This window comes from Homo sapiens, chromosome 3 (assembly GCF_000001405.40).
Source record: "Homo sapiens chromosome 3, GRCh38.p14 Primary Assembly".
Classification (NCBI taxonomy): Eukaryota; Metazoa; Chordata; class Mammalia; order Primates; family Hominidae; genus Homo; species Homo sapiens.
In genome coordinates, this window is record NC_000003.12 from 182,466,442 (window position 1) to 182,482,031 (window position 15,590).

The 15,590-nt window shown below is 38.6% G+C and overlaps 1 long non-coding RNA gene across 1 annotated transcript in view, besides 1 other annotated feature; it reads right to left on the reverse strand.

Moving 5' to 3' along the window:
• Nucleotides 1-15,590, reverse strand: part of LINC01994 (long intergenic non-protein coding RNA 1994) — a 39,393-nt gene that overhangs the window by 19,472 nt on the left and 4,331 nt on the right. Inside the window, exon 2 of the long non-coding RNA NR_040105.1 lies at nt 4,661-4,740. This is a non-coding gene — a long non-coding RNA (long intergenic non-protein coding RNA 1994). The remainder of the gene's footprint in view (nt 1-4,660; nt 4,741-15,590) is intronic.
• Nucleotides 13,580-13,874: a silencer, noted in NCBI's record as "tiled region #13029; K562 Repressive DNase matched - State 8:EnhW". NCBI's record gives its function as "represses a minimal TATA promoter and a strong SV40 promoter by Sharpr-MPRA in K562 cells {active_cell/tissue: K562}" and the evidence as "EXISTENCE:reporter gene assay evidence [ECO:0000049][PMID:27701403]".

Consider the following 15,590-nt stretch of genomic DNA (forward strand, 5'->3'; position numbering starts at 1 on the left):
TCATTTATCCTTATTGTAACCCAATGAAATAGGTGTAATTAATATTTTCACGTTAAAGGAGAAAACTGAAGCTTGAATTTCATCTGGAATCCTTAAGTTAATCATTCCACAGAGCCATGATGGCATCTTGGATCCCCTGGTATAAGAAACACCTTAGTCTCTTTACCCAACTGGACTTGAAAGTTCTCAGTATTCTCTTTCCCATAGTGTATATTTACTTTTTTTTCTTTTTTTCTTTTTTTTGAGATGGAATTTTGTTCCTCTTGCCCAGGCTGGAGTGCAATGGCTTGATCTCGGCTCACTGCAACCTCCACCTCCCGAGTTCAAGCCATTGTCCTGCCTCAGCCTCCTGAGTAGCTGGGATTACAGGCATGTGCCACCACGCCTGGCTAATTTGTATTTTTAGTAGAGACAGGGTTTCTCCATGTTGGTCAGGCTGGTCTCGAACTCTCATCCTCAGGTGATCCGCCCACCTCAGCCTCCCAAAATGCTGGGATTACAAGTGTGAGCCACCATGCCTGGTGTATATTTACTCTTTTAAAGGAATTGGCTTAACACCATCTCACACTGAGTCCAATGGGCTCAAGTATTTACCCTGTTACCACAGGGTAAATACTTTTAAAAGGCCTTTCATTGGTTCCCTGACCTATTAAGTAAGAGTTATTATGGTAAAAAGCACCAAGTGGAAGCTCCCATAATTTCACCCCATACCTTAGCTAAGATAGCAAACTAGATGCAACCATATGATCCAGCAATCATGTTTCTTGGTATTATCCAATGGAACTGAAAACTCATGCTCACACAGAAACCTGTATATGAATGTTTATAGCAGCCTTATTTATAATTGCCAAAACTTGGAAGCAATAAAGACATCCTTCAATAGGTAAATGGATAAATAAACTGTGGTACATCCAGACAATGCAATATTATTTAGTGCTAATTAGATACATGCATAGCACAGGTAGAAGAGAAGGCCTATAAAGATTCAGGTGTCTGACATATCAACAAACATTTTTTCCTTTTATTTTATTATAAACATTTCAAACGTACAGAAAAGTTGAGATAGCTTTACAGTGAACTTCTGAGTATTCACCATCTAGATTTTTATCGAGAATTTAAAAAATTTTTAATTTATTTCAATAGGTTTTTGGGGAACAGGTAGTGTTTGGTTACATGAATAAGTTCTCCAGGGTTGATTTCTGAGATTTTGGTGCACCCATCACCCGAGCAGTGTTCACTGTGCCCAACGTGTAGTCTTTTATCCCTAGCAACCCCCCACCCTTTCCCCTGAGTCCCCGAAGTCCAGTGTATTATTCTTATCCCTTTGCATCCTCATAGCTTAGCTCCCACATATGAATGAGAACATATGATGTTTGGTTTTTCATTCCTGAGTCCTAACTCAGGACTTAGAATAAGTCACCAATTGGTGACTTAGAATAATAGTCACCAATTGGTGACTTAGAATAATAGTCACCAATTGGTGACTTAGAATAATAGTCACCAATTCCATCCAGGTTGCTGCAAATGTCATTATTTCATTCCTTTTTATCGCTGAGTAGTATTCCATGGTATGTTTGTATAGATATATATACACACACATACATAGATATACCACATTTCCTTTATCCACTTGTTGATTGGTGGGCATTTGGGCCGGTTACATACTTTTGCAATCGCAAATTGTGCTGCTGTAAACACGCATGTGCAAGTATCTTTTTCGCACAATGGCTTCTTTTCCTCTGGGTAGATACCCAATAGTGGGATTGCTGGATCATATGGTAGTTCTACTTTTAACTCTTTAAGGAATCTCCACAATGTTTTCCATAGTGGTTGTACTAGTTTACATTCCCACCAACAGTGCAAAAGTGTTCTCTTTCCACCGCATCCAGGCCAACATCTATTTTTTTTTTATTTTTGATTATGACCATTCTTGAAGGAGTGAGTTGGTATCACATTGCAGTTTTGATTTGCATTTCCCTGATAATTAGTCGTATTGAGCATTTTTCCATTTGCTTGTTGGCCATTTGTATATCTTCTTTTGAGAATTGTTTACTCATGTCCTTAGCCCTCTTTTTGATGGGATTGTTTGTTTGTTTGTTGCTAATTTGTTTGAGTTTGTGTAGATTCTTGATATTAGTCCTTTGTCAGATGTATAGATTGTGAAGATTTTCTCCCACTCTGTGGGTTGCCAATTAACTCTGCTGATTATTTCTTTTGCTGTGCAGAAGCTTTTTAGTTTAATTAAGTCCCATCTATTTATCTTTGTTTTTGTTACTTTTGCTTTTGTGTTCTTGGTCATAAAATCTTTGCCTAAGCCAGTGTCTAGAAGGGTTTTTCCAACGTTATCTTCTAGAATCTTTATGGTTTCAGGTCTTAGGTTTCAGTCTTTTATCCATCTTGGTTGATTTTTGTATGAGGTGAGAGATGAGAATCCAGTTTCATTCTTCTACATGTGTCTAGCCAATTCTCCCAGCACCATTGGTTAAATAGGGTGTCCTTTTCCTACTGTATGTTTTTGTCCGCTTTGTTGAAGATCAGTTGGCTGTAAGTATGTGGGTTTATTTCTGGGCTCTCTATTCTGTTCCATTGGTCTATGTGCCTATTTTTATACCAGGATCATGCTGTTTTGGAGACTATGACCGTAAAGTATAGTTCGAAGTCGGATAATGTGATGCCTCCAGATTTGTTCTTTTTGCTTAGTCTTGCTTTTGCCACCTAGATTTTATAATTAACATCTTACCACACTTGCTTTATCATATTTGATGAAGTGTTTAGGAGTCCAAGAATCTGGGGCATGTCTAAGATAACATCTCTGAAATAAAAAATAAGTTGATTCATCTCACATTCCCCACCACTAAGAAAAAGACAGAGTGTTTAGTCATCTCTTTTGGATTTCAGAGACAGCATATACTGCTCTGAGGAGTACTACTGTTTATTTGTTGGGTAACTTGGAAGGCTCACAGTTTCAATGGCATTCAGAGCAAAAAGAAGGCTCAACAACAAATCCAGGCAGCACTGCAAACTGCCTTACTCTTCAAACTATATAATCAGCAGTACGGCACTACCCATATCCATGGTGAATATATTGATCCATTGTAAACACGGGTGTAGGGTCTCTGGAAAACGCCAATACAAAACCAGAGCAGAAAGGTCCTTTGTATTTTGGAGCAAGACCGCATCTTCTGTAGCATGAACTACATTCGTTTTTTGCAAAGCAGCCCCTGGCTGCTACTGAGCCTTTACAGAGACTGTCTGACTGAATGGCTATGTAAGTTTTGCTGCCCATAATGAACTGGCCTTTTAGATCTACCAAATCATAATGACAGACAAATACAGCAGCAATCCATCCTAGTATAGAAGCAATTAAAAATCAGGACCAAGCAGAGCCAGAGAATACAAAAATGCTACATGAGCAGGACTTCCGATACTCACACCACCTAACTCTATGTCATCAATGTCTGAACATCAACTCACAACTAAAATCTTATTGAGGGCATGGGAAGTATTTATACAGTCAGCTGATGAAGGAAAAAAATATATCGGTCTCAGTTCACAGCTGGGTTGTATACACTATGTCAGTACAAACTGAAAATGGACTTCCGTTGCACCATAGCCCCACTTAGGGATGGATCTAAATGTCGGTTGTGAGGGACAGTCCTTCCAGTGGACAGAGCTGAGAGCAGTAAATTTGATTATTTACTTTTTATGTAAGAAGAAGTAGCTTAAGAAGGACATACATGGACTCCTGAGTATTGGCAAACAGCTTGGTTGGTTGGTCAGGGCCTGAAAGGAACCAATTTGGAAGATCAGAGAGGAAAAAATTGTCTAGAGAAGCAAGTGACAGACCCATTGAAGTGGGCACAGATCTCATGCTACTTCCCACCAGAGAATATCAAAGTCAGAGGAGACACCAAACAACCAGGATGACTCATCCTGTGGATGTCAGACAGCCACTGTCCTTGACCACCCAATGTGCTTATCCATTAGGTCCAATAATGAAATACCAACGGTAACAGGAATAGAGGCTGTGCATGGAAGAACCCAACAGTTTGGGCTCCCACTTATTAAGGCTGCTGTTGAATACACAATGTGCCAAACTGTTAACAAGCTGGCATGAATCCTTTGATAAAGCAGCAAAACCTAAGATCAGCCAAACACTCGGTAGCAGGTTGATTACATCAAATCCCTTCCACCCTGGAGGGGGCAATGATTCATCCTTACTGGAGTCGATACTTACTCCCATATGGCTTTGATATTCCTGTCTGCCATGTCTGACAGCACCACCATTCAAAGGCATATAATGTACCTTGTTGATTATATGGATTCCCATATATTATCACTAAAAATCAAGGGTTCCATTTTACAGAGAAAAGTTTGCAACAATCAATTCATGACCAAATGATTAATTATTTCTACTATATAGTGCATCACCTGAAAAAAATTCACCTACTTATAATGATGGAATTGCTTGTTAAAGGTTCAACTAAGGTGCTAACTCAGGGCAAAGACCTCTGTGAAGTTGGGACATTGTCCACCAAGAACAAATATATTAATTAAACAAATAGTGATGTTATGCCCCCAGTAACTAAAATAAACAGGTCTATATAGTTGTTTGACCCTCTCACCATCATTCCCAGTGGATTCTCAGTGGTCTACTTACAGAATGTGTGCTTCTTGTCCCTGCACCTTTAGGTTTTATAGGATTCAGAGGTCCTGATACCCAGAGGAGTGCTGCTTTCACTGAAAGGAAATGATAAGAATCTCAATGAGGCGGAAACTATGACTACCGCCTGCCTCTACTTTGGGTTCCTCATGCCAGTGACCTAACAAGCAAAGAAAGGAGTTACTATTGTTTCGGGAGGTAAGCAAATGTGATTATCTTGAGGAGTAGGGTTTCTTACCATACAATGAGAACAGACAGAATCTGGAATACGGGGATTCACTGGGGGTCTCTGGGTACTTCTATGCAAAGTGATACTGGTCAATAGCCAATTTTAGCAATCACAGCCCAGTAAGGACAAGGAAGCTAAGAGCTCAGATCCCTCAAGGATGGAGATGGCATGCCACCAAGCAGGCAGTCTAGAGGAACTGAAGTGCTGGGCAAGGGTGAGGGAAATCTAGAATGGGTGTTGGAGAAGCTAGATGATGAATACCAATTATAACCTCAGATTCAGTTGCAGCAGTGGAGATTGCAGCTTATTACACTAATACTTTGTATTAAGCTCCTTTTTGGAGTGATTGCAGCTGCCAACACTTTGAAGACTCAGTGACAAATTGGTCTTAACATATGCAGAGAATGGATTGAATCAGATGCCTCTCACGTTCTGCCTCACTTCCTCTCAGTCTTATTTCAGTTGCCATTTGCAGTTGTAGCTGTGGTGAACAATTACTTGGTAAAAGGGGTAAAGAGTTCCAATACTGACCACATATTTCCTCAGGCATATCATTGGCCTGCTGTGGCATTTTTCAGGTACTGAAGAAGTGGGATACCCACAGGAGTTTACTGGGCATGGATGCATGCATAGCTCAAGTGCAGGGGAGATCACCACCCAAGGCAACCCTCAATGGGTGATGTGAGCCAATGACAATTGCTTCTACCTATTGATTCCTTGGGTCACTTCCTGAAAAAACTACCTGAATGCAAGCTCTTTTCTCAATCTCTGCTTTCCAGGGTAAACCAGGGTAAGAAAGAAGCCAATGAAAGTCCACACAGCTCTTGCAAATAAGATATAAAATGCTGCAGAGCTGAGCACCATGGCTCACGCCTGTAATCCCAACACTTTGGGAGGCTGAGGTAGGAGGATCACCTGAGCCCAGGAGTCAAGTTCAACATAGTGGAACCCCATCTCTACACAAAACAAAATTTAAAAATTATCCAGGCATGGTGGTGCATGCTTATAGTCCCAGCTATGCGGGAGGCTGAGGCAGGAAGATGGCTTGAACCCAGGAGGTTGAAGTTGCAGTGAGCTGTGATTGTGCCACTACTGCACTCCAGCCTGGGTGACAAAGTGAGACCCTGCCTCAAAAATAAATAAATAAATAAATAAATAAATAAAATAATAAAATGCTGCAGAAAAACAATAAAAACTTTCACTCTGCAAACGTGCTGGTTTCAAGGGTAACAGAAAATATAATTTTTGACTCATTCTAGCCAATTCCTCTATTATCATAAGCCAAAAGTTAGGATAAATACATTCCCTTACAAATTCTTCCTCACCAAAAGTTATTAAAGAGAAATTACTATAGGAAAGAGAGTATATTTTGTATTTGTTTTCTATTGCTGCTGCAACAAATTATCGAAACTTGGTGGCTTAAAACATAAATTTATTATCTTATAGTTCTATAGGTTAGAAGTTCAGCACAGGTCTCACTGGGCCAAAATCAAGGTGTCAGCAGAGGTGAATTCCCTTCTGTAGACTCTGGGGGACAACTGTTTTCTTGACTTTTCCAGTTTCTGACGGCTTCCTGCTTTTCTTGGCTTATGATGCCTTCCTCCATCCTCAAAACCAGCAATGGGAGATCAACTTCTTTTCACATCATATCACTCTGACCCCTCTTCAGTCTTCTTCTTCTACTTTTAAAGACTTTTGCAAGTATACCAGGTCTGCCCAGATAATCCAGTATAATCTCTCTATCATAAAATCACCAAATTAGCAACCTTAATTTTAGGTACAATCTTAGCTTCCCTTTGCCATGTAATGTGACATACTCATAGGCTCCAAGGATTAAGACACGGACATATTTGGAGTAGGGTGGAGAGCATTATTCTGCCTATCACAATATTAAAGAAAGAGAAAGTTTATAAATTTCCTTTTAGGTCTACTGTCATATTTACTTTAGACCCAAACTCTCATTCAATTTAATCCAACTTCAATTTCTTGGCTGTACTTTTATTGACTTACAACATTTGATTACATCAAGTCAGTGAGTCTATTTTCATTTTGTAGGTGAACAGAATGGGATATGAAAAGCAAAAGCCAGAAATTACCCCCCAAAAAAATGGGGGAGGGAAGGAAGGAGGGAAGGGGGGGAGGGAAGAAGGAAGGAAGGAAGGAAGGAAGGAAGGAAGGAAGGAAGGAAGGAAGGAAGGAAGGAAGGAAAAAACTTAGATTTTATTTTTAGGTAAGAAAAATATGCTTAGCTACTCAACCTTAAGGTCATCGGGTTGGAGAAGGCTGTCCCAGGAGGAAGTACTCATCTGCTTGAAATTAATCTCTTTTAAACTCAAAGTTCTGATGAGAGACCCTGTTTGTCACAACTAGTCAAAACTCTAGTCAAGTAGGAACTTTTACTAGCATTATTTGTTAAAAATAATAATAATGAGAGAACTCATTATTTAAAAATCATAATGTAAATTACTTGCATCTTGTCTTTCCAGCTCAAATTTTCTTGATCATGATATTATGAACAATATTAAAGAGTAGATGGTAGACTATAACATCTCCTAGAAAAACAAAAGGGCATGAACTGATAAAATGTATCTTATAGGCATCTTCAGTAATTACCATTCATTGTTCTCATGTGAATTGTTCATATTTTGTAGCCTCCCAAATCTGATCTGTTAGATTAAATGTGATGAAACGTTTCAGTTGACAACATGTAATATTTTATTTTACTATTGATCTCAATCCATGTGATTAAGAGTAATTTTGTAAGACATATTTCTTTTGTACTAGTAAATCCAACAAAAGTGATAAAGAAATGGCAGGGAGGCGACATCCTGAATATGCATTTGGCACTTCAAAACAAATGGATTGTTAAAAAGTTATTTGAGATTAGTTGAGCATGAGTAGGTATTTATTGCTTTCTTTTTGGCCAGAAACTTGTTAGTGAAATAAGGCTAATGGTAGAAATATTTCCTCTTGTAAAGCATAATCATCTCTTCTTGAGAAGACTGGTTTTAAAATATCCTAGTGCTTTTAGATATTGTACCTTTTTGGTTATGCCAAATATCAGTTCACTTTGGAAAGCCGGTAATATGAAAAATGATGTCACTCATCATTAGTACAGAGGATTAAAGAGAAAACTGGAACAAGAAAGATGTTTCAGAAAGGGAAATCAGTGTCTGAGTCTGTGTTGTACTATGCCATTCCCCACCTAATTAAGTGATTTACTTCCTTTTGAAACTATGAATTTCCACTCCAGAAAACATCTATTTATAAAGAACCCTTTTCTCTGCCTCACTCTCAAATTATTTCTTTTTTTTTCTTTTTAGTTGTCCTTATTTCTATCAGCAAAAAAAATCTATTGATAATCAAATATTAAGACCAAAAAAAAGTTGGCCATATTTACAACTAATCATACTTGTAAAGGGAAACTGATGGAGACTACCTGAAATGAAAAGTATTTAAAATCAGAAAATTTGGGTTTTTTTATGATTTGGAGGATCAGGAAGGAAACTATTGGGGAACTATATGCATGCATTATACAAATGATCTTTGGAACCTATATTTACTATTCCATTCTTAAAGAACATTTATCCTTATAAACATTATTAAATAAATTTAAAAAGCAAGCAGATCCATTTCTTATTTACTTAAGGGTCAAGTTCTTGAAAAGTAAAAGGAAATTAAATTATAATTAATTTTGTCCAGATGAAATAAATGTAAAACAGGTAACATATTTCAGTTGAGGACAATGTGAATTGTCCAATTTTCCATATTTCCTTAATATAAGCAGTAACGGAAAGGTTTTAGAGAAAATAAATACATGAAAAAAATTTGTCATAAATTGCATTTTAAAAGTCACTGGTAATCTCTAGTCAATCTGCAGACAACGGTAGCATCTTTAGCTCTTTTACTTTTCATCATATCCATTAAAGAAATTCTCAAACATGAAGTCTTTGACATATATTTGTTCACCAAATTCTAATGAATATCCCTAGGCACAATAAGTAGTACACTACAAGGAGGAGATGTATTTTACCCAGGAAGAAGGCAAGGTTAGTGAATTTCTTACATTGTATAGTTCTCTGTCCACAGAACCCTCTAATTTCTACAATCTTACTTGACAAACTCTCTACAAACTTGATATCACCAGGAAGGCACCCCCATCCATAATTACAGAAGAAGCAACTTAAGTTGCTTCTAAGTGAACCTAAGAAGTCTTAGTTACTTACCAAATAAGTGCACATTTAAATATGAACCCTGTGTTTTATCCAACTCGCTAGGTAATTGCTCAGAGAACTCATTATCTAAAGACATAGTAGCCACTAAAAACACAAATACACCTAAAAAAGGCATAGATAAAATTCATATGTAACAAACCTCTGATGGGTGTTATTTTGTGTGTAGCTATTTAGTTCCTCCTTTAACATCAAAATAATTTCCTTTACTAGATATTTTTCATGTTCCATAGTAAAAAACCATTTACCATGTTCTGGTAAAAACCATTATATTTGCCACGTGATATCTTCCATCAATTTTAGCAGGAGAGTTCTTTAAACATAAGACACATATAATTCTTTTGGTGAGGAAGTAGAAAATTACACTACTATATATTCTTGGTATATTTATTTGAATTAATCATAGCGTATTAGTAATGAGAACATGAAGCATACCTTAATACCAGTACTGACATCTATCATAACATCTGCATTGTATATAGGGGCTTGTCTGTATGTAAAGATTTAATATAACAATCTTCATGGATTCCCATTTCTATTAGAATTATCAGATTAGGAGGTTGGCTGATTTCCATTTCCAAACATCTCCATGTTAAAAAAAAATATTTGTACATTATGATTACTGCCCTTTGTGGTTGTGAGAGTTTTAAATTCAGAATAATATCACCAAACCCCAGCTAGTCAAAACACTGAAAAATGCACACTGCTGTCTAGGATTAATAATAATAAATTCCATGTAATGAATGTCTTTTACTGAGTGTGAACACTAGTCAATTTATTTCATTTAACCCTCATCTCCCTGAGTAAACTCCTTAAGTAGGTGTCAATATCCCATTTTACAGATGATAAATATAAGACTTAGCAAACTCGTGTAACTTGCCCAAGAATACACAACTAATAAATGTTGAAGTTGGCATTTGACCAGCGTCGGGTAACTCAAAATTCTTGGACAACTAGTTTAAATTATTTTTTAAAATTATGTCAGCAATTATCATAGAAGTTTTTATAAGAAAGAGTTTTATTTACCATACTAAAATATCAGTGTAGCAAACCCAATTACTTCGAATTTCTCTGCAAGTGTCTTTTACACATTTTGAAACTATCCTCTCTTCTTAGAAGATAACCTAGTCTGTCTATATTTTGCTTAAATGACAAATCACAAAAGAACTTCCAAACATTGGGTTCAAAACTGTATATAACAAGAGGCAAGAGATGTCCTGGAGCACATATATCATTCGCAATTTTGGCAGATAGCATTAAACCGCATCTTGTTGTAGTGAATCACACAGATATTAAGGAAGATGATCAGTTGAGAGGGACATGACTTTGCTTTCAAATCACGGTAAACCCATCAAAAGACTGCATGAAGTTCTGTAGCAAGTTACTCTAAGCAGGATAAAGCATGACCGACTTAAAGAACCATCAAACTAAATTTCAAAATTATAATAATCCCAAAGCACACATTTGTTGAAGACAGGGACACAATGTACAGTTTAGCAGAATGAGCAACCAGAGTCTTGCCATTTAATGATTTATTTTTTCAGATTTAGAAAGCATAAAGAAATTAGCAATGGGCTTTTGACTCACTTTGAACTGTAGGGCCAATATTATGGCTGGCAGGTATCCCCATGATAGGGACATGTTAGTGCCATAGCCCCACCCACAGACAGACATACCATACCTGTTCTTTTCCTCCCAGTAGGTATGAGTGGCATCTCCCCTGAACATCCCTGAAGATAAGCTCTAGTTAACTGGTCTGGCCTTAAGCTCCCAGTTGGGGGATGCTGAGGTCTCCCACAGATTGAACTCTGGCCTAGTTTCAAGTAGAAATCCTGGAGTCAACGCTGAACAACAAAGCCACCTGAAAGGGGCAAAGGGAAAGACTGGGACAAATAATCTAGGTTCAATTCCTGTTCCTGTCCTTGCTAGTGTGCATTTTTGGAGAAATTACCCAACTCTTTGGAGTATGCGTTTGCTACTCTGTAAAATTACAATTGAATAATAAAAGCATAAATGGTATTGTGAAGCTGATAGAATGCCAAAAGACTTAACATAGTGGGTTCTCAGTAATTTTTCCTTCCTTCTTTCTTCCTCCCTTCCTTCTTTCCTTCCTACATACCTGTCACTATATCTGAGGCTCTCCTCCTATCTGCTGGGTGGTAGGACCCAGAAGCTTTAAAGAAAGCACTTTTCTGTCATTTAAAGCTTGCACTCCTCAACCTCCTCATTTGGCTCCATGTCCACGTTTGCAGTTTACCTTTACTACTTCTAACCGAGGAAGTGAAAACTGGTAACCCTCCTTCTCAGTCTTTTTCTATGGAGCCCTAGGGTCATTGTGAGCAGGCCTGGGGAGGATTTTTTCACTAATGCTGAACTAAATGATGTATTAAATTGGGTGAGGGCTGCCTTCAGGTGAAGATGAAAAGTACCTTGGCTGCCCTAGGAAAGAATGCTTCCCCCAGGATGTTTTCAGCTGCACTTTTCCATTCCACTTTAAATAGCACAGGTGATAAGGACTTTATGTGCATAATCCTCTGAACCAGCCCAGCAGCCCAGTGTCACCTTCTGCTACAGAGAAAGAGAGAAGGGAAGGTTGTGCAAGAAGAGATGCTTTAGCTTTCCTTTCAATTTTTTTTTTCTTCCTCACTCCCCTATTGGAAGGAAAGAAAATACGAGCATAAAGAAGGTACCACTTATTTTACCAAAACTTCAAAAGACACCAAATCCAGGTCTCCAGGTAAGTTTCTGGAGTATTCCAGTTATCTTTGATTATGGTTCCAATTAGGATAAGTTTTGCTAAAATGAGTTAGGTATTTCTCTGTGCCTGCCATGGTCATATAATGGAGACAATCAGTCATTTACTGTACACATCAGTGCAGGACTGAGGGAAGGCTTTTAGAAGATGTGGGACTCCACCTTTTCAAAGGGTCAAAGGGCAGACAATTTCACAATAAAGGGCAGAGAGACTTGGACCTCAAGGTTATGGGAGAAAACCTGCTATCTGATCAGAGTGCAAATTGCTCCAAGGATTGGCTGTCAATCACAGAAGAATAAGTAGACCATTATATTTTACTGTCTGCTCCTTGCATAGACTAAATTAGAGCAGTTTGTGTACTTTTTATCACTTTCTTTGTACTTTATGTTGTTAAAAAAATGAATATGGCATATATCCAGTTTTGCCATCAGAGCTTCAAATACAAAGAATATTGACAGAATATTTTTAATAATTTTTTTAAAAATCTTCCCTGGCTATATAAGAGATAAAGCTGTTTTGTTGAACCATACAAATAGAAATTACAGGAATTAGCCATAAAAATATGGATACTGCCTACTTAAAGCTTACATATTTTTACAAGTAAATGATAGAGCAGGGTTTAAATGCAGGTCTGTCCAAACTCATACCGCATAGAAAATTGTGAAAATTAAATACAACGAACTCTAAAAACTAACTTAGGGCAGTGCCTGGCATGCAATAAGCACCCAATAAAGAACACGCACACGCACATTTCATTTCTGCATTTGTCCACAGGGCCCTACTCACTGTATACTCCGCACTCCATGGACTTTAAATACAGCTACCTAAGTGACACAGTAGCCCAGCAGCTGGTTAAACATCAGCAAGTAGAAATGACAGAATGGACAAAGAGGCTATAGAGAAAGGAAGGAATAGTTTTTAAGGTGTGCTACCTGGAGAAAAAGAAGGCTCTGTGAGGTAGCCTAGATGAGGATGGGGGAAAAGTTCTTTAAAAAAGACAACAGGTAAGGGAAATGGTACTGGCTTAGTGGCAAGTAGGAAGATTATAGGATGCAGTGTGCGACTGAGTTCTGCCAGCCACTAGACCTTACTAACAGCCTGTCTCTGAGTCTCTTTTTCTGCAGATGGAGGTCATAGGTGAAAAAAGGATATGTCGAAACCCTGAGTAGATGTACGACAGAAGTAGAAACAAAGTCTCCTCTTTGTTTGCCCTGGGATGTAGCCATATTTCCTTATGACCATATCCCCTGTCTGGCTTGCAGACTACTGTACAGTTTTTGCATTTTTTCTTCAGAAATGACTCACAAATGCTATATTATTTTACCTTCCCAAATTGCTTTCCATAAACCAAAAAAAGGGGGGCTTGGAGTGATATTATAAACATGGCACATCTGTTTTTAATAAATGAAGAAGTATTATAAAATTTTTACTTTGGGGAAATATCCAGAATTTTTTCCTGAAGAAAAATTGTATCCATCTGGTCCCATGAGAGCTGGTTTTTACATTAAGGAATATTTGTTGGTTGGGTGATTGGAGAGTGGGAGTGGGGAAAAGGGGGAAGTTGTTAGATCCAACACTTATCGTTAAGTGGAGTTAGTTTCTAAAAATGTAGCATCCAGAAACTGGTGAGTAATCCTTCTTCGTAGTGCAATATTATGTCACCAGATCTGCTGAGCTAATGCACAATAAAATTAATCCTCCATTTCTGCAAATGCTGGTGATATGGCAATCACAGATGTGCTGAAATAGAAGTGTTCATGCCAGGCAGAGTTCACGAGCCACAGATCTAGCCAATTGTCAAATTTCCGGCCCACACTTCACTCCAAACCCACGCTATCTGAAGGGAGGAGGAAGTGGCTGAAGATTCACTTATCAGCTTTCCAACCCTATCTCATCTCTTTCTCCAGAGTTGTTATTGCACATTTTTGCCATTATTTTACAATTTCCAGCCAACTTGGCAACATACTATTTATGAAGACAGTATGTGGTAGGGCTCGGGCAGGAGAAGTGAAAGTAGGTAAGGGCAAAGAACTGACATTCATGGGCATGGGCATTAAATGGGGCCTTCTAGATTTAAATTTCCCAAAAACCTTGTGGAGCTGGTGTTACACTTCCAATTTTAGACTGGAAGAAACTGCCCAGTAAGCATACCAAAATCAGTACAACCCCAAGCTCTTTCCATTATACCATGTTGATCCAGTCAGCATGTCTATGCTTACATTCTTCTTCTGAATGATCCCTACTGATTTCCAAAAAGGAAGCACTAGGTGAAAGGAATTTAGGGTCAATCTAGTTTAATAACCCAGCCCAACGAATGGCAAAGTAAAGCAAAAGTTACCCTTAACTCACTGGTCCAGTCCATTGTGGCCGTTCATGACTATACTGCGATATCAATGGGGATCTTCTTTTCAGAATCTGGCCACATGCTCATGGAATCAACACCAAGCCCCTCAAAACTCCAGGAAAGAGATTCTGATTGATTAAGCTTGGATCACAAGCCCACTTCCTGGCTAGAGAAAGACAGAATCCCTTGACCAATATAACACCATATGCCAAGGAGAATTGGGTTGCTGTTACCAAAAAGCCAAAATAAAAGATAGCCACTAGAATGGTACTTTTAGAAACCTGCAGTCACCCCGTCTGTTGTTTGAAATTTGTATTACCTCTCCCTCTCCAACAGGAAAATGGGAAACTAAACCCCATGAGGGCAGAGCCATTGTCTGTTTTGTTCCTCTCTCAAAACCAAACATTAGCACGGAGCCTGGTACGTGTAGGGCATGTAATAGCACATGTCTGCTATATGAATGGACCAGTCAAGATCTACATGTTGCCTGAAAGTCTCATCATGAGAAACTAAATGAATTAACTTTGGTGCCTACTTCAAACCAAGTGACTTGGAGGTCTCCCGTGAAACTTGTTCTTCTTTCAGTTGAATCTCAAAATTTATCATGACTCCTAGCAGGCCTTAGCAACAGTGAGGAAAAAGCTGCCCAGCAGTAGCTTTAGCCCTTCTGCAGAAACAACACTCACCAATTCTGAGTGCTTGGATGGCCAAAATCACCCCAGTCAGATGAGCTTTAGCAGTTCTCCTTTCACTGAAAAATCATTAAACATCCTTTATTTTTTTTTTTTCTTTTTTTTTTTTTTGAGACGGAGTCTTGCTCTGTCGCCCAGGCCAGACTGCGGACTGCAGTGGCGCAATCTCGGCTCACTGCAAGCTCCGCTTCCCGGGTTCACGCCATTCTCCTGCCTCAGCCTCCCCAGTAGCTGGGACTACAGGCGCCCGCCACCGCGCCCGGCTAATTTTTTGTATTTTTAGTAGAGACGGGGTTTCACCTTGTTAGCCAGGATGGTCTCGATCTCCTGACCTCATGATCCACCCGCCTCGGCCTCCCAAAGTGCTGGGATTACAGGCGTGAGCCACCGCGCCCGGCCACATTCTTTATTTTTAAATAAGAAGCTTAGCTACCATCTACAGTGCAATATCTCTGTTTCATGTATTTATGACGATTTTAGCTTGTGTCTGAATGTCATCGAGGAAAACCTCTTTTAATTGGGAGGTTGATACACTTTTTAAAAAGAAATTCAGAAAGCAAGGATTTCCCCCACCTCATTTTTATCAACCCACTACCTCCTGAAAATGTCATTTTTGTGTTTCTTCTTACTGCCTTTCTCTGAAGCTCTTTGAATTCAAGGAGAATGTCTTATTTC